We start from the raw sequence: 19613 nt of genomic DNA, 5'->3' as shown, positions 1-19613 counted from the left end.
TGAAATTTAGTCAGTAGTCGTAAAGATCTCCCGTGGAATAAAGAGGGATATCTCTTCTACAAAGATTGGAGGAAAATAAATAAGGATGAGAATGTCTATAGGCATTTGGGAGAGAGATGCAGATATAATACCATATATCTGCATGGTATTATACATCAACAGAAGCTGATGGCCTTTATTTTTATTTGTAAAGCTGGGGGTATAATGAGCATGACAGGGAAGATGGTGGGGTTAGAGAATTCTGGAGAATGATATAAGGTTTACAAAAGCACTTTGGAGCATGAAAAATGATATTGATTAGGACCCACAGGAAGCTTTGAGGGCACAGTTACAGGTGCAACAACAAATTTACAGTGGTTCCAATTTATTCTGCTGTTGTCCTACGCAGCCTCTGGGGTAGGCATGAAGAAGGTAAAGGATGAATTGGTTGAGTTTTACTAGGCAGATGCAACATAAGGCAATGAGGGTAAAGGGATTAAAAACACAGGGGTCAAAATGGTTAAAATGATTGATGGAGAAGAAAATAATTCTGGCTGGGTGTGGTGGCCATGTCTATAATGCTAGCACTTAGGAAGACAGAGGCAAGAAGACAGCTTGAGCCCAGGAATTCAAGACCTGCCTGGGCAACATAGCAAGACCCCATTCTCCAAAAAAAAAGGAAAAAAGAAGACAAAAAAAGAGTAGGAAATAATTCTAAGACATGTATGATAAACTGAAATAAAATGGGAGAGTCAAGAAACTAGAGCTCTGTGAGATGGAAAAACAGATGTTAAAGGAGTAGGGGAGTAAAAAGCTAAAAGGCTAGGAGACATGGTCATAGACTCGTATTAGGTTTTAGTATTTTAGAGGAGAGGAATTCTGGGTGATGGGTATGGCTATGTGTGTATGGGGCTAAAGTACAGTGTAACTGAAAATGACTGTCCACAAGGACAATGAAGTCATCCAGCATGATATGAAAAATTAAGATAGAGATTTATTCAGACTGGGAGCCAGGAGTCTAAGTTCACAGTGAGCAACCAAGAGGTCAGTAGATGCTAACAAATAGGAGTGGCAGAAATAGAACAATACTGATGCTTAGAAGAAGATTCATTTTTATAGAAATACACAGAAATACTGATTTGGAAGAACAATGATAGCTAAGAGAATGCTGGACTCAGTCTCTTGTCTTCTGGCAGCTGTTTCTCACTGACTCTTTTTACCTTTTTCCATCTCCTGTCTCCCAATACTCTATAAAAGAGAATGATCAGCCTCTAGTTGAAGGGGCTGCTGAAAAAGGATATCTGAGTAAGATGCTGAAAAAGGATATCTGAGTAAGATGCTTCCAGAAGTTGTGGACAAGCCAGGAAAAAAATCATCCGAAAAACAAATTAGTAAAGTCATGAAACTATTCATCTTTAGACTAATTCACACTAATACCTGGTTTATGATTGTGCTAGTTATAAGATTATGGTATTTCCAAAGTCTTTGCCAAGAGATGAGAATATATTCTCAATAGCAGGCATGTAATGTGCATATTAAATATGAAAATAAAAAATAGAGTAATTTTATATTTTGGATATTAAATAAAATTACAGACTACTTTTTTTTTCATCAATTACTGCTCAGGGAATAGATACATTACATTCAATAGGATAGGTATTCCAGCTATTAGGCTGTATATCTGGCGGTGTAACAGGAACTATGTGTAACATTTCCAGAGTCTAGATGAAATATCCTTCTGAATCTAACTCACTTTGTTCAGATTCTGTACTCATGAAACTATCTGATTATTAACTAGGTCTCACAGGACTCCTGATGTCTACGGTAGTGCTCTAAAGTTTCCAAAATTTTTCACTATAAAGACATTGTTTTACTAATGTATATTATGTACATTGCAACATACATGTACAAAAAATAAAGTTCAAAAGAGTCAGACATAAATATATATATAAGTTCCAATATTTTATTCTCACATTCGAGTGGCATACTGTAGATGCCACTCTGGAGGCCAGTGCTTTAGAGAAATAAGTATAAGTGTTCTAGGCAATGAAAAGGTATAAAACTGCCATCACTGATAAGCTGGAACTGTGTAATTCATCTCTGGCCAAAATGATAAAATCAAGTTTCTGACTCTTCAAGCTTTGAACTGGGCCACAGTGAAGCTCTACCGAGGTATTGCCTCTCAACGAAGTCCCAATATCCTTTTGACTGCAAGAGTTTCTAGGCAATGACCACAGAAAGCTTAAACATTGAGAAACCAGACGTGTTCTTATCCCAGCTCAAGAAAATCCTCTTAAGTGCAGTATAGTAAGGAAAACAAGACTCAATTTAAAAACATTGATCAGAAGTTTAAACAATGATATGGTACAATTTATCCTTCCCCGGCAGCAAAAAAAAAAGTCTCTTAATTACTCACCTGAATAAAATGTGTTGATTTTGGCAAGTTCTTTTTCACAGGTTTGGAAAAACTTCTCTTCAAACTTGGCAAAATACCTCTTTACTGTGTCCTCATCTGTAACTGAAAGACAGGAAAACAATATTTAAATTTAATGTCCAAAGGCCAATTGAGAAAACTAAGGAAACAAAAACTAAGATTACTTTTTGAGTTTTTAAAATGACAACTTTATATGTATTTCTCTGAAAAAGTGAACTGTGAACCATATTAAGAAAAGACTACTCAAAGACCTTTTCAGGCCGAGTGCGATGGCTCATGCCTGTAATCCCAGTACTTCGGGAGGCCGAGGCGGGCAGATCACTTGAAGTCAGGAGTTCAAGACCAGACTGGCCAAATGGTGAAATCACGTCTCTACTAAAAATATAAAAATTAGCTGGGTGTGGTGGTGGGTGCCTGTAATCCCACCTACTCTGGAGGCTGAGGTAGGTGGAGGTTGCAGTGAGCCAAGATTGCACCACTGCACTCCAGCCTGGGTGACAGAGCAAGACCCCGTTTCAAAAAAACAAAAACAAAAAAAACAAAAAAAAAACAAAAAAAACCTCTTTGTAAGACCACACACAAACCTTCTTTAAGTGAATGAGACTTTCCTAAAGCTCTACTATAATAAATTTACAATGTTGGAGAAAACAAGTGTTCTAAGACTTTAGAAGAGAAAAAAAACTGTAGACAGAATTGATCAAGTAAAATTCAAGGTACTAGGAGCTGAGCTGAGTAGAATTCATTCAGCAAGAGAATAAATATCTTAGGGAAGGAAAAAATGCAAAGCAAAGGTATGAAGACATGAATGTATAATGTGTTTCTGGGAAAAACGAGTTGATTTTGTTCTATGTTAAATGGCTATTTATTTTTACTTTAACTGTACCACATACAGAGAAAGAAGTCTGCACTGAAGAGTGTAAATTACAAGTTCCAAACCTTCAGGAGCTGGGAAGGTAACATAAATGTGTTGGGCAAGTAGATGATTGTGCAAATGTGGTGAGAAATGACAAAGTGACACCTTCAGGAGAAGGAGTGGTTGGGATTCTGACAAGCTGGAAAGCATATGTCTGTCTAGTTGCTGCCATGTGGTGATGTGGGCCCAGTTTGTCAAATCTTTCCATTTTTCAGGAGAAGCTATAAATCCAGATATTTTAAAAACACTGTGTGGGCCAATCAATACATGTTTCTGCAGGCTGGATCCACTTTCTCAGTTCTGTCACATAGCCTATCAACCTACTGAATCCCATATGTAGAGATATATGTAACTTCAGGAACCCCAAGCCTAAAAGGGTATGTTTCTCGGCCAAGTGAGATCTATTTAGACTCTCTAGACGCTAATAAAATTAATAATACAGAACTATCCTATTCCTGGATCTCTAAGGTACTCTAAGATTGAAAAGTGTAGAAAAAGTATAGATTCCTTTCTGAGCCCCGGGTCCCCCAAAACTCAGTGCAGACCCAGAAACTCTTAAAATAATCCAACTGTCTAGGAATAAGGAAAATGGTCCAAAAGTAGTATGTGAGACACATACACACATACATAAATTCATATTATTGCATGGTATAATTTGTAGTACCAGAGATATTTTAAAGAAAAACAAAAGCTTAAGGTTCTAAAAAGCATGCTGAATCTATTTATTTTATTTGAATAAGACTGCACAAAACTTTTATTTACACATACCTGCTTCTCTATTTCATGTGCTTTAGACCTGATCAGATAATGCAGGATGTTGTATTGATTCTAGAGTAAAACAGGATGGCCACTTTAAACTCCGCAATCTAGGTACAATAAGGGCTATAGCTGCCCAAGGTCACCGGGAATTATTTTTTTCAAAGCATGAAGCAGGTCACAGCTTTCTCTTTTTCTTTTTCCCTTGCTTTTTTTTTTTTTTAAAGCTGAGTTTGCGTTAAGGAAGCTCTATGGTAACAGATGCAGCTCTTATAATAACTAACATCTAGCTATAGCTGATATAAAATAAGAGTAACAGCTTATTCTACTTAATTATCTAATTATTTTTATTTTATTCTCTATTGTTAGGAAAGAAAACCCAAAAGCAAAACATGGGCTTGGTCGTATTTACTGTGTTTTCCTCTTAACAGACAAGTTTTATTAACATAAAGCAATAGAAATACAATTGTTCAGCAAAATGATTCAAACATAGCTTCTCTTCTAAAATAATTTTTAATATATATTAACGTTCACATAGGTTGTATATTCAACATCAACTATTTATAGTATCACCAAGAATTCAGAAACAAAAAATCCAGGCCTCTGAGAAACTAAAATATACATAAACTTCATGTGTTAAAGCATGAATATTCTACCCATGAATCAGTCTCCTAAGAATTTATTTCTTTGCTTTAAAGATTGTTTTATCTGGCTGGGTGTGGTGGCTCATGCCTGTAATCCCAGCATTTTGGGAGACCAAGGCAGAGGGATCACCTGAGGTCAGGAGTTCGAGACCAGCCTGACCAACATGGTGAAACCCTGTCCTGTCTCTGCTAAAAATACAAAAATTAGTTGGGCATGGTGGCTCGTGCCTGTAATCCTAGCTACTCGGGAGGCTGAGGCAGGAGAATTGCTTGAACCTGGGAGGAGGTGGAGGTTGCAGTGAGCTGAGATCCCACCACTGGACTCCAGCCTGGGTGACAGAGCAAGACTCCATCTCAAAAGGAAACAAAAAAGAGAGAGAGAGATTGTTTTATCTAAAATACTGGCAGTTTGTTTAGTTTTCTAGTTCAGACATAAAATAGCCATTAATCAGAAGAAGGTAGAGTAAGGTTATAGTAACACACACACACACACACACACACACACACACACAAACACACACACACGAAAAAAACTAACAGGCGAAAAAATATAAATAAAACAGCAAGAATTGTGTGCAAAATAAGCTAAATGAAGGACAATGTTTTTGTTTTCTCAGATTTCAAAAGACTTGGTAAACTACTGTAATTAAAAGTATACTTTTAGTAAATAAATGAGAAAAACACAGCAAAAAGAACAGAATACAGAGTCTAGAAGTAAATCTGCATAATGTATACAAATTTAGATTACAATAAAGGAGGCTTCAAATCTCAGTGAGAAAAGAATGAATTATACATCAATAGGGCTGGGTGAACCAGCCATCAATTTAGAAGAAACTCAAAATGGAGTTAAAGAGATGATATAAAATACTATAAAAAATAGAACATTTCAATAATTCCACATGGGGAAGGCCTTCTTAATATTACACAAAACACAGAAGCCATAAAGGAAATGATTGACACTTTCAGAAAATAAAAAATTTCCATTCCATAAAACACCACAAGCAAAGTTAAAAGAGAAGCAGCATAAATATATATCTACAACATTTAAAATAAATGATTAACATGCAAAATATATTTTTAAAAATTATTACAAGTCAATATTAAAAAGATATTTGATTCCATAAGTAGGTAAATTACAGCATTTCATAGAAAAAGAAATATAAATGGCCAATGAACCAATGAAAGGATGCCAGATGTCATATAAATGCAACTTTTTTAAAAAAGGAAATATAGCTTTTCAACCATCAGGTTAGAAAGAGTTTTAAAACAGTGGTATCATGTGGCAATGGTAATGATAAATGAACACACTCATTCCTTGTTGATGGAAATGTAAATTTTAGGAAGACAATTTGGCAATAGCTATTAAAATTTTCAGTGTTTAATCCCACATGTAGGAAATGTATTCTAAAGGAATCTCTATACAAATGGCTGTATTTCCAAGGATATTCATTCACCATTTGTTTTTTTTTAAGACAGAGTCTTGCTCTGTCACCCAGGCTGGAATGCAACAGCATGATCTCGGCTCACTGCAACCTACACCTTCCGGGTTCAAGAGATTCTCCCGTCTCAGGTTCCCAAGTAGCTGGAATTACAAGTGCCTGCCATCATGCCCCGCTAATTTTTGCAGTTTTAGTAGAGATGGGGTTTCGCCATGTTGGTCAGGCTGGTCTCAAACTCCTGACCTCAGGTGATCCACCTGCCTCGGCCTCCCAAAGTGCTGGGATTACAGGTTTGAGCCACCACGCCCAGCCTTACCATTATTTTTAATAGTGAAAAAGAAACAAACTGATGTCCAAAAGGGGAGTGGTTAAGTACATTATGATATTATGTAACATTAAGCATTTAAAAAATAATATACATACATCCTGGTGTGTATAAAAAATCAAGAAACATTGTTGAGGAAAAAATAAATAACAGAATATATATAGCATGATCCCATTAATGGAAAATATGTACATAAGTTAATATTCATATGTACATTCATAGAAAGATTGCAAGGATGCATAACAATCTGTTGTGGTTACCTCCTTTGAAAGGGGAGTAGGTATGAGAAGGATTCTCACATTTTGCTATCTTCACTTATTAAATTGTTTGAACCCATCAAAATGAAAAGGTATTCATAAAGGATAAATTATACTGTATAAATAAAGGATATTATTAACTGGAAGAAAAAAAGAAACATACCATATCCAGACCTTTAAATTATACATAATAAAAACTAAACAGCCCAGCATAGCTAGTTGAATAGAGTTTTTGTTTGTTTGTTTGTTGAGACAGCACCTAGCTGTGTCACCTAGGCTGAAGTGCAGTGGCACATTCATGGCTCACTACAGCCTCAACCTCCCAGGCTCAATCGATCCTCCCACCTTAGCCTCCCTAGTAGCTGGGACCACAGGAAATAGATTATCTATACCAGTATATAGAATGATTAAGCCTTTCACTTCAGTTATGAGAAGCTTATAGAATGCTCATTTACAGAACATCAATTTCTATTATAAGATGTTTCCTATAATGTACCTGCTGAATAATGTTAGAAATCAGTAACTCTGAATTGGAGAATCAGAGAATTTCAGCATTCAAAAATCAACGAGCCCAATATTGTTATTTTATAGATGAGAAAACTGAGGTACAAAGAGCCTAGGTGACATGAGTTTTCCCCACCCCAATATCAATATAAGTTTTATAGAAAAATCACTGTATTTTATTATCAAATAAGGAATATAAACATATTAACTGTATAAAAGTGACTACTACGTGCTACATGGGTATTATGAAGTGAACTGTGTACCCAAAATCATATGTGGGAGCCCTAACCCCACAATGTGACTTGTATTTGGAGACAGGGCCTTTAAAGAGGCAACTAAGGTTAAATGAGGACTTAAGGCTAATGGAGCCTTAATCCCACAAAACTAATGTTCCTATAAAAAAAGAGACACCAGAGATTCCCCCACTGCCCCCGCCCAACACACACGTATGTTCTCTCTCTTTCTCTCTCTCTGTCTCTTTCTCTCTCTGCCTCCCTCACTCCAATCACACACAGAGGATAGGCCATGTTTGGGGAAATGCTTGCAAAGAAGAAAAGAGGCCTTACTAGAAACGAATTCTGCCTGAATCTTGATCATGGACTTTCAAGCCTCCAGAAATACGAGAAAACAAATTTCTGTTGTTTAAAGCACCCAGTCTGTAGTATTCTGCTATGGCAGTCTGAGTAGACTAATACAATGGGCTAAATATGTCCTGAATTCAATAATTAGTCACAAAAGACTAAGCCTAGTTCAGAGAGAGCAAGCATAAATAAGTACAAATCTTAGAAAGATATATCAACAATTGTAAGATTAGCAGTAACAGAAAAAAGGAAGTCAAACGAGAGAAAAAAAATAAAAAACAGGTAAAGAATGACTTTGAGAACACTGTCTTAGAGATTCCTTTGCTCTGAGTTAAATAAATATTAAATCAGTGAGTTATACTAAAATAGAGACACACAGTTACACTGAGAGAGAGAGAAAGAGAGACTGATTTCTTTGTCATCTCTATAATTGTCTTATCTCCACCTTGCATTTGTGGATGACAGACAATTGCTTTCTCATCCACCCCGCAAATTACTGTTAATAGAAAATGATTCTTCGCTTGAACCTAGGAGGCAGAGTTTGCAGTGAGCCGAGTTCGTGCCACCGCACTCCAGCCTGGGCATCAGAGACTGTCTCAAAAAGAAAATGATTCTTAGGAGATATACCTAATGCTAAATGACGAGTTAATGGGTGCAGCACACCAACATGGCACATGTATACATATGTAACAAGTCTGCACGTTGTACACATGTACCCTAAAAGTTAAAGTATAATAATAATAAAATTTTAAAAAAAAGCAAACAAGTGAGAAAATTGGAGTGAAGGGAAAATAAAACCAGGGGTGTTTAAAAAAAAAAAAAGAGTACCAATCAAGGTAAAATACTCCTATTGCATAGCAGCCACCATCAAGTGCTTTTTACAGCAACATTCAGGAATATTTTTATTTTTATACTAATAATGTCATCAAGCTTTTTCATGCAATCTTTGGGTTAAATACATAAAAGGCCAATCTTCTCAAAAACCATTTATTTAAAACCACTATCAACACCATCAAATATCTTTAATGTTCCATTCAAATTTTCATTACTATTCTCAATTTTCTTAATTTCCAGATCTGTGAGACATGGAGGATGGGGATTATGTCTTTTTTTAAATCTGTATAGACGACATACCCAACATAATGTCTGGTACACAGTATGTGCTCCACACACTATTTTTAAAATTGTAAATGTTGAAACAATGTTCATATTTTGTGAAAAATATGATACTTTATTAAAGTAAAAAAAAAACAACACTCCAACAATTGGATAGTCACATGCAAAAGAATGAAGTTAGACTCCCACACGGATACAAAAATTAAGTCAAAAGTGATCAAAGACCTAAATGTAAGAGCTAAAACTACATGAGCTCTTAGAAGAAAACACAAGTATAAATCTTCCTGACCTCAGATGGGGCAATGGTTTCTTAGATATGACACCAAACACATAAGCAACAAATAAAAAAATTGATAGATTGAACTTTATCAAAATTAAAAACTTTTCTGCTTAAAAGGGCACTATCAAAAAAGTAAAAAGACAAACACAATGGGAGAAAACATTTGCAAACCCATATCAGGACTATCTGACAAGGGTTTAGTATCCAGAATACAAAAGGACTTTCAACTCTTGCATCTCTTTTTTTTTTTTTTTGAGACAGAGTCTTGCTCTGTTGCCCAGGTTGGAGTGCAGTGGCACGATCTCTGCTCACTGCAAGCTCCGCCTCCCAGGTTCACGCCATTCTCCTGCCTCAGCCTCCCCAGTAGTTGGGACTACAGGTGCCCACCACCAAGCCTGGCTAATTTTTTGTATTTTTAGTAGAGATGGGGTTTCACCATGTTAGCCAGGATGGAACTCTTGCATCTCTTTTAGAAAATATGTCAAAAAGACTCCTCTAACTCAACAATAAGACATATAACCAAATTTTTAAAAATGGACAAAGAATCTGAATAGACATTTCTCCAAAGAAGACACACAAATGACCAATAAGTACATGAAAATATTTCAACACATCAGTCATTAGTGAAATGCAAATCAAAAGACAATGAGATACCATTTCATACCCACTAGAATAGCTATAATTTAAAAAGGCAATAACAAGTGTTGGTAAGAATATGCAGAAATTAGAACCCTCATATATCACTGGTAGGAATGTTAAATGATGTAGCCACTTGGGAAAACAGTTCGGTAGTTCCTCAAAAAGTTAAAAATAGATTACCATATGATTCAACAATTCTACTTCTAGGTACATACCCAAGAGAAGTAAAAACATATGTTCACAGAAAAACTCATATATGAATGTTCAGAGCAGCATTATTTATAATATCAAAAAGTAGAAACAACCCAATGGATAAATGGATAAACAAAATGTAGCATATCCATACAATTGAATATAATTCAGCCACAGAAAAGAATAATGTACTGTTCCATGCTACAACATGGATGAACTCTGAAAATATTATGCTAAGAGAGAAGCCAGATAGTTAAGATCACATGTTGTACGAATCCATTTATATGAAATGTCCAGAATATGCAAATCCATAGAGACAGAAAGTAGAGTGGTGGTTGGCAGGCAGGGGCTGGGGGTAGGAGGAGCGGGGAGGGATGAAAATGTTCTTGAATTAGATAGTGGTGATGGCTGCACAAACTTGTGAATATATTAGAAACCTATGAATTATATCTTCCTTTTTTTCCCTCTCCCTCTCCCTCTCCCCCTCCCCCTCTTTTCTTTCCTTTCTGCCTCCCGGGTTCAAGTGATTCTCCTGCCTCAGCCTCCTGAGTAGCTGGGATTATAGGTGCCCACCACCACACCCAATTTTTGTATTTCTACTAGAGATGATGTTTCACCATGTTGGCCAGGCTGGTCTCTAACTCCTGACCTCAGGTGATCTACCTGCCTCAGCCTCCCAAAATGCTGGGATTACAGGTATGAACCACCATGCCCAGCCTTGAATTATACACTTTAAAAGAGTGAATTTTATATGTGAATTATATTAATAATATGTATTTATTCAACAAATAATAATTGTACCTATTAGATGCCAGGCTCTCTATTAAATGCTAGGGATATGATGAATGAGATAAATGTAGGTCCTGCCCTCACACAGTTTACATTCTAGTGACTGAGACAGAAAGAAATCTACACAAGTAAACAAAGAATTATAGACTATAAAAAGTGAATGAAGACAACAAATAGGGTGATGAGATAGAGTGTAAGAACTGGGATGGATGGCTATCCTTTCTGGCAGAGTAAGAAATGATCAGAAAAGATCTCTTTTTAAGAGATGACATTTAATCTAAGACTGAACCTAAAGGATAAGAAAGAACAAGGATAAAATAATTCCCAACAGAGGGAACAGCATGTTAGAAAAGAAACTGAGATGCCTAAAGAACTGAAAGCAGCTCACAATGTTACTGCCACCAGGTGGTGATAGGAGGTGAGGTCAGGGAGGCAGGTAAAGGCCCTTTCACGCACAAAGCCCATGTTATGAAGTTTGAACTCTATTCTAAGTGCCATGGAAAATATTGATGAGTTTTAGGGGGAAGCCTAAATAGGAGAATTAGTTTCTGTTTTATTAAATGATAATTTTAAAATAGCAATTCCCAGGAAATTAGGTGTGCAAATGAAGGAGGAGGAGAAATATTCTATCCTCAAATAAATCTGGGAATTATGAGTATAAAGCACGATCAAACTGATTTTTTTTAAGGTAGTAGTTCTCACTCTTAGGTGGGTTGTCTTTCAGGGGACAAAGGGACATTTGGCAATATCTGGAGATACTTGTGGTTGTCACAGCTGGACAACCACGAGTATGTTAGTGTTACTAGAGTCTAATGGGTAGGGGTCAAGGATGCTGCTAAATATTCTACAATTTCCAGGACAGCAATCCTTCCCACTACCTGCTCCAAACACAGACTTATCCGGTCCAAAATGTCAACAGTATCAAGGCTGAGAAACTCTGCTTTAAGGCAAAAGGAGCTTTACTATGCTAATATACACTGTTATTCTATGAGAAGTGGAACTAATACATTGTGTTTCCCAAAGTTATTTATAAGAATATAGTCCTTGGTGTAAAGGGGATATGACAGCAGAAAGATGAGGAAAGGGTTGTAGAATACCTATTAAAATCTGCAGGAATAGGTCAGGTGTGGTGGCTCATGCCTGTAATCCCAGTGCTTTGGGAGGCCGAGGTGGGAGAACTGCTTGAGCCCAGGAGTTGGAGACCAGTCTGGACAACTTAGGGAGACCCAGTCTCTAAAAAAATTTTTTTAAAAATTAGCTGGGTGTGGTAGCGTGCACCTGTGGTCCCAGCTACTTGGGAGGCTGAGGTGGGAGGATGGCTTTAGCCTGGGAGATGAAGGCTGCAGTGAGCTGTAATCACGTTATACTCTAGCCTGAGTGACAGACTAAGACCCTGTCTCAAAAAATAAAATTAAAATAAAAAAACAAGATCTCCTGAAACAGTATTCTGTGGAACACCAGTTTGAGAGGCACTAACTTTACTATCACCACTACCTCTTTGCATTTTAATTATATTCCCTACACAATAGTTTCTATGATTTCTTAGTTTCTCCTGCTTATGAGAGCAGATAAATAAAAATTAAATATATGACCATGCTCCATCAAATATAGAAAGAATATTTAGCACTACTGTTTCATGCTTGTACCAAAAAAAGGTGTGTGTTTTTTTAAGAGTGTGATTTATAAACTGAGAATAACTAACTTGAAATTCTTTTTTTCCAGATGCTATTACATCAACAGATGGGTAGATGAATTATATAAAGCATATGGCAAAGATTTCAAAGATAAAAAATGTTACTCTAAAATCACTGGTGTAGTAGAAATAGAGCTAAATCAGGAGTCATTCATTCAACAAGTACCAAGTCCCTCCTATGTACCAGGCAATGTGGCAGGGGTAGGGATACAGCGATAAGCAAAATAAACATAAATTCTGCCCTTTGACATTACAGTCTACAGTCTATCTGAGGAAAAAAACTTTAATCAAATAATCTCACAAATATACAAAGGGTAGAATAAAGGACTAGCCTTCTTCCTGAGACCAATGAGACATTTTTGAAGGATTTTAAGCAGAGAGAATAGTATGATCAAATATGCTTTCTAAATAAGGTTGTCGGGAGACCAGTGAGACGTAGTACAGTAGATACCACGGGAGAGATCACAATAGCCTCAACTAGGGTGAGGGCACTGGAGACAGAGAAGTGAAAAAATTCAAAAGATATTCTGGAGGTAAAATCAGTAGGTTTTAGTGCAGACTAGATATGGTTCTGTTGCCAACTACCTATATTAGCTTGAGCAAGTAACACTCTAGGCCTGTTTTCACTTTGAAAAATAAGGGCATTTGAATAGGTAATCTCTAAGTCTTTTCCTAATTGCAAATTTCTAACTAAAACTGCTAATTTCTGCAAAATGATTCTGAATATAACTAGGCTTAAGTAGTCCCTACACAAGATTTTCTGATCTGAGTCTATCTTAAGGTTTTATCAGGTGAGGTTTAACTAAATGTGTTTAAAATATTCTTGGTAGAACACACACAAAAAAGTCTTTTCACTTATAACAGTGACATGTAATTGAGAAAAAAATCAATCTCACTGGCACTAGATACAATACAATCCAAGCTATTTATTATCCCAATGAGTATTTACCTAATGTCTGCTAGGTAAAGAACAACAATAAATGAAATATCAATAAATAATTCAAACAAGGGCATAATTCATTAGTAAAGTGGGAGGAATGTAACAGTGGTTTTCAAATGATTTTTGCCCTTGTAACTTCTAAAATAATTTTGAATAACTATCTTGCAATTGTTAAGTCATGATAACTGATTTTGAACACATTTAAATAATTATAAACAATGTAATTTCTGGTACCCTGCAATCATTTACATTTTAAAATACAAGGACTTTGTTTTAATTGTATAATGGAAATTGTATAATTTCCATTATACAATTATTCCATTATACAATCCAATTGTATAATTATACAATTATACAATTTCCAAAATTATAATGGAAATTAAATGCCATAATAATTCAATAACTACTTGAATTAATTCAATAACTACTTTATGTATTTGGTTTCATCTTATAGACATAAATGTTAAGAAATATTGTTAACATAAATAAGTAGATCAGAATGAAAGTTTGTTGCAGCAATGTCAATCTTTGAATGCCTATGTATTTTCCAAAAGCCACATGGTGATTATTGAAAATTAATTTTAATGATAAATAAGCTTACAATTAAGTCTTCTTTCAGTTTCAGTGAAAACAAAAAACTGGACTTGCAAAGGATTTGTTACCCTGTTACTCACTTTCTTAATACCTACAATGAGTATTTGAGTATTTCAGAGAATTCCTTTGTTTGGGATCCAAAATGGCAACAACGTATCACAGCAAAATTTAGATTGCGTAAGAGACAAGCCTTTCTTTTATAAAGTCAAGGAAAGGCAATTTGAAAGAGGACTTCTTGACTGTAGACTAATTATTCAGACCAATCAATTTCAGGAATTAGTACATATGTAAATGAATATATCCACATATATCTGGATATAAATCTGGAAATGAATTCTCTTAAAGGACAATAAAAAGGGGATTTTTTTTTCCAGCACTCTTCTCCATTTAACAAATATGACAAAATACTACTTTGTATACAGATGACAGTTTCAAGAGAATTAGGTATTTTTAACTGAAGGCCTTTTATTTTCTAATTCTGTTAGCTAATTAATCACTTTATATACCACAAAGTATACCATTATTTAAAGTCATTTTGTTAAGTAAATCTATCTAGTTAGATCCACTTTTAACTAAACTATTAGTAATCCTAGTTCTTTTTCACTCTTGCAAAGCAACAGATCAAAATTATTATTAAGACTGAAGTTACAATAAACAAAGCAAACAAAAGATATCTGAGGATAATCCAAGATGAATACTATTATTAACTTAACTGAATTCTCAGTCTTTTTTTCAATTTTTTTTCATTTTTATATAGAGACAGGGTCTTGCTTTGTTGCCCAGTCTGGTCTCAAAACTCCTGGGCTCAAGGGATCCCCCTGCCTCAGCCTCCCAAAGTGCTGGGATTACAGGTGGGAGCCATGGTGCTCGGCCCTGACTGCTCAGTCTCACTGTTGCAAAGATGAGTAAAACAATGAACCATAAGAGTCTTAACTACTCTGGTGACTTACTCCAGGGAAAAAGCTTTCAAAGAATGATAGGCAGGTAACCATCTCATTTCTCTCCAAACTGCCAAGCATATATGTAATGTTGTGGTTTGAATGTGTCCCCCCAAATTCATGATAAAGCTTAATCACCCATGCCATAGTATTTAGAGGTGGGGCTTTAAGAGGTGTTTAGGTGAATGGGATTAGTGACGTTATAAAAGAGGCTGAAGAAATCTCCCTAGTCCCTTTCATCCTTTCTGCCATGTAAGGACATAGTGTTGGACCCCTCCAGAGGACACAACAACAAGATGCCATCTTGGAAGCAGAAGGCAAGCCTTTATCAGGCACTACGTCTGTTGGTGCCTTGATCCTGGACTTCCCAGCCTCCAGAACTATGAGAAATAAATTTCTATTATTTATATATTACCCAGACTAAAGTATTTTGTTATAGCAGAAAGGATGGACTAAGACATATAGCTAAAGAGAAAACACATTTATGATGAACATCAATATTGGTCAGATATAAAAAGATAGGAAAGACAGGCCAGACGTGGTGGCTGACACCTGTAATCCCAGCACTTTGGGCGGCCGAGGCAGGCAGATCACGAGGTCAGGAGATTGAGACTACCCTGGCTAACACGGTGAAACCCCATCTCTACTAAATATACAAAAAAACAAACAAACAAAAAAATTAGCTGGGCATGGTGGCGGGTGCCTGTAGTCCCAGCTACTAGGGAGGCTGAGGCAGGAGAATGGCATGAACCCGGGAGGCGGAGCTTGCAGTGAGCCGAGATCACGCCACTGCACTCCAGCCTGGGCGACAGACCAAGACTTCCATCTCAAAAAAAAAAAAAAAAAAAAAAAGATAGGAAAGACAGATTTCTTTTTTTAAAAAAAGTATTAAAAAATCCAGATATGGGTTATCCTTTGTTAATTCTTTAACATCCATAAACTACATCTTTGTTGCAAAATTCCTGCAATATTCTCTTTTATTCTGATTTCACAGCAACATAACCAAATAAAGAAAATTAAGTTCTTAGCTCAAATTCCCTCAAAGCCAGGGTTTTATATACTTCTCTCTTCCTCTATATTCTGGGACATTTCAGTATTCTTCAAATTAGACCAGAAATGCAGCCACTTGTTTGTCTGATAAAGACACTCTTCCAATGACTAAAAGAAAATTGATAAAATACATCACAGAATCATACTGAGAAAGATGACAGAACAAAGCAAATGTATATAAAACAATGAAATTAAGGAAACAACTGACTATGAAAATGCAATTTTTAAAAAAAGTTTAGTGATTATATATTTAAATAGAAGATCTGGACAAGTGGTAAAATCTCTATTTTCTTGAGGAAAACAGAACACATTCTATTCGATTAATAAACCTTAACTAATTTCTAATGTAAAATCACAGTTTTGGCTCTTAATTACATATAGACAAATTTATCATCTAAGCAACTGAAGCATACTTTATAGCTGCATTGCTCTTAAAGCAAAACATGGAGGGAAAAAGGAAAAGAAAACATGCCATCTTAGAAAAGGGAGAAAGTAATCCTGAGTATTTCAATGACACACATTCACTGACTCATAAGAATGACTAAATTCCTTTCCTTGGGACTCTCCTTCAAAGAAAATGTTATGTCAAAACCTTTGTAGCATTATATGAGATACAAATAAGTATGAGTACAATTTTACATTTTAAGTCTAATAACAAAGAGTTATGCTAAAAATGGTTTTCCATTGTGAAAGGAAAGGGAATATAATTATTTAGCTTAAAATAGTAACTCTCTGTTGTTCTTAGGATACTGTTCATACCCTGCAACATAGTTTATAAAGTCTTACAAGAGTCAGTGCTACTTCTCTTCAGCTTTAATTCATCTGATATCTCAACCTATATAGCTATCCTGAGCAATTTTCAGTTCCTGGGAGCAGCCATACTTTCCTTATCTCTGGACCTTAATACATGATGTTTGTTCTCCCGTCTGAACATTTTTTTTCCCCAAGTATCCCCAAACCATCTCTTTTCCCAAATCCCAACATTCATAGTCACATTTTCTCCCTAGTCATCTGCCACCCTCTTAAATAACCCTTTTCAGAGACATTACTGACCAACATAACCCTGAGCATATTCAACACATTAAATGATTGACTATTTACTAGTCTCTATCTCTTGATACAAGGAATATCAGGTAAATTTCAAGTACAGAATAGGAGAAAGGGTACTGGGGAACTGTACCCTGGGGAGCTACAATAAAATTTGTATGATAGAGTGATAGAGTAAAATCAGAGGTTAACAGTGTGAACTCATGGTTGTTAATATATATGCAAATAGATATAGAAATACAGATATGTGTATGTATTAGTCAGTTTTCATGATGCTGATAAAGACATACCCAAGACTGGGCAATTTACAAAAGAAAGAGGTTTATTGGATTTACAGTTCCACATGGCTGAGGAGGCCTCACAATCATGGTGAAAGGCAAGGAGGAGCAAGTCACATCTTACGCGGATGCCAGCAGGCAAAGAGCGGTTGTGCAGAAAAACTCTGTTTTTTAAAACCATCAAATCTCATGAGACCCATTCACTATCATGAGAAGAGCATGGGAAAGACCTGCCCTCAAGATTCAATCATCTCCCACTTGGTCCCTTCCATAACAAGTGGGATTTATGGGAGATACAAGATGAGATTTGAGTGGGAACACAGAGCCAAACCTTATCAGTGTGTATACAAAGTTCATACACAAAGACAGACAGACAGACACACACACACACATATTTCTTAGCTCCTCTGCTGGTAGAGTCTAGCAGCAATAATAGTCTAGTAACAATAAGTCTAGCACTCAGATCTTGGTTCCTAAATAACATTCTCCAAATAAAAGGAGTCAGGGGTCTTAGGAGACGAAGTTGATTTCCAGGGCTGGGTCAGGGAAAATACAAGGTGAGCCTGGAATACCTTAAGATACCAGAAAATAAGAAACTTTCCCAAAAGAATGGTGGCAGATCAAAATGACATAAATTCTTCCAACTTGAAGAAGCTCCCAATGACCAAAGCAATAAAATAAATGACAGTAACAGTACTAGATTATAATCCATAGAATAAAGCACATATTCAAAGGCCCATGTTGATATGAATAAATAAATAACTGAATAAATGTGTGAGAAAGAACAGCTCTTCCTTATAGAATAATTCTAATTAATAAATGTAGAAGAAATGAGAAAAATATAGAATTACCACTAGGCAAATACCACAGTAGTAACCCTTGCGAGCAAGATCCATCCATAGATAATAGAAATCAATGGGTCAAAGTTTGAGGAACAAGAAGATATTTATCAATCCAAAGGGAGAAACAGTAACTTTACCATGGAGAAACTTGGCAGACACCACTTTAAACAAGTAATCAAGGTTAATACTACCAATAAAATAAGACATAGCAACTACAGGTACCCCCTGAAAAAAATGCACTATGAAGGACACAACATCACTTCTCTGGTATTCTTGACAAAAAGGCACAACCTGAATCCAAAAATGAGAAAACATCAGGCAGAAATAAACTTAGATATTGTACAAATCAATTATCAAAGCACAATACGCATCAAAGTGTTAAAGTCATGACTAAGGAAGTGTCACAGAGTGAAGGATACTGAAGAGTCACAACAACCAAATGCAACGTGAGATCCTGAATTGGTTCCTGGCACCAAGAAGGACATGAAGAAAAAAACCTGGTAAAACTTGAGTAAGGTCTGTAGTTGAGTCAGTAATACTATACCAACATGTTAATCTCCTAGTTCTGGTAATTGCACTACGATTGAGTACGTTTTAACATTAAGGAAAGCTGGGTAAAGAGTATATATGAACTCTTCTGTAATATTCTTGCAACTTTTCTGTAAGTTTAAAATTATTTCATACAAAATCAGATTAATTCAAAATGTCTAGGGCCTAAAGACAAATTAAAAAAAAAACCAATTCAAACTTAATCAAGAGAATGACTTAATTGTAATACCACTACCTGAGCTACTTAATTCATACGATAGGGTAATAATGAATCTTAAATATCAATGTTATATATTCAACAGCAAATATTTTTAAAGTGTCTACTATATGCCAGGCACCATGCTATTTATTAACTAAGGATATAGTGATGAAGGAGGCAAACACATTCCCTGTGCTTTGAGAGAAAACAGACGTAAAGAAGTAATTAGAAGAACAATCAATGTATGTAATAAATAGGAAGGCACAGAATGCTAGGGGAGCACATCGACAGGCACTAACCCATTATAAAAAGATCCAGAAAGTCTCTGAAACACTTCAGTTGAGATATAAAGAAGGAGCTGAGGGATGTGAGGCAGGAAAAATAATAATAAGCGGGAGTTGAGAGCAAGGTTGACTTGGGAAAGAAAACCAACAGTGATTAACAATACCAAATGAAAGAGAAAGTAATGTAAAATGAGGCTGAAGAGAGAGGGACCGCCAGATGAAGGGGCCATGTAACACTTTAAAAGATAGTAAGCAGGGGAGTAAAATAATCTGGTGCATTTTTAAACAAAGTTATTTTTAGTTGAGGTTGAAGAGACTGAGACTTTCATTTCTGGAAACAAAGTAAATTAG

The 19613-nt window shown here is 35.8% G+C and overlaps 1 protein-coding gene across 4 annotated transcripts in view, besides 1 other annotated feature; it reads right to left on the bottom strand.

The window, feature by feature from the left end:
- The window catches only part of XPR1 (xenotropic and polytropic retrovirus receptor 1), a 258258-nt gene that overhangs the window by 100030 nt on the left and 138615 nt on the right, over positions 1-19613 (bottom strand). For all 4 annotated transcript variants that reach the window (NR_137330.2, NM_004736.4, NM_001135669.2 and 1 more), the window contains exon 3: positions 2396-2497. Coding sequence is in view for 3 of the 4 variants with exons in the window: in NM_004736.4 (NP_004727.2) it covers positions 2396-2497 (102 nt within the window). In the remaining variant the exon portion in view is untranslated. The remainder of the gene's footprint in view (positions 1-2395; positions 2498-19613) is intronic.
- Positions 8170-8370: a silencer, noted in NCBI's record as "peak488 fragment used in MPRA reporter construct". NCBI's record gives its function as "represses an SCP1 promoter by STARR-seq MPRAs in K562 erythroleukemia cells {active_cell/tissue: K562}" and the evidence as "EXISTENCE:reporter gene assay evidence [ECO:0000049][PMID:32103011]".

Source organism: Homo sapiens, chromosome 1, assembly GCF_000001405.40.
Source record: "Homo sapiens chromosome 1, GRCh38.p14 Primary Assembly".
In the NCBI taxonomy this organism is placed as follows: Eukaryota; Metazoa; Chordata; class Mammalia; order Primates; family Hominidae; genus Homo; species Homo sapiens.
The sequence above is the reverse complement of the archived record's forward strand: the minus strand, read 5'-3'. Positions and strand labels throughout refer to the sequence as shown.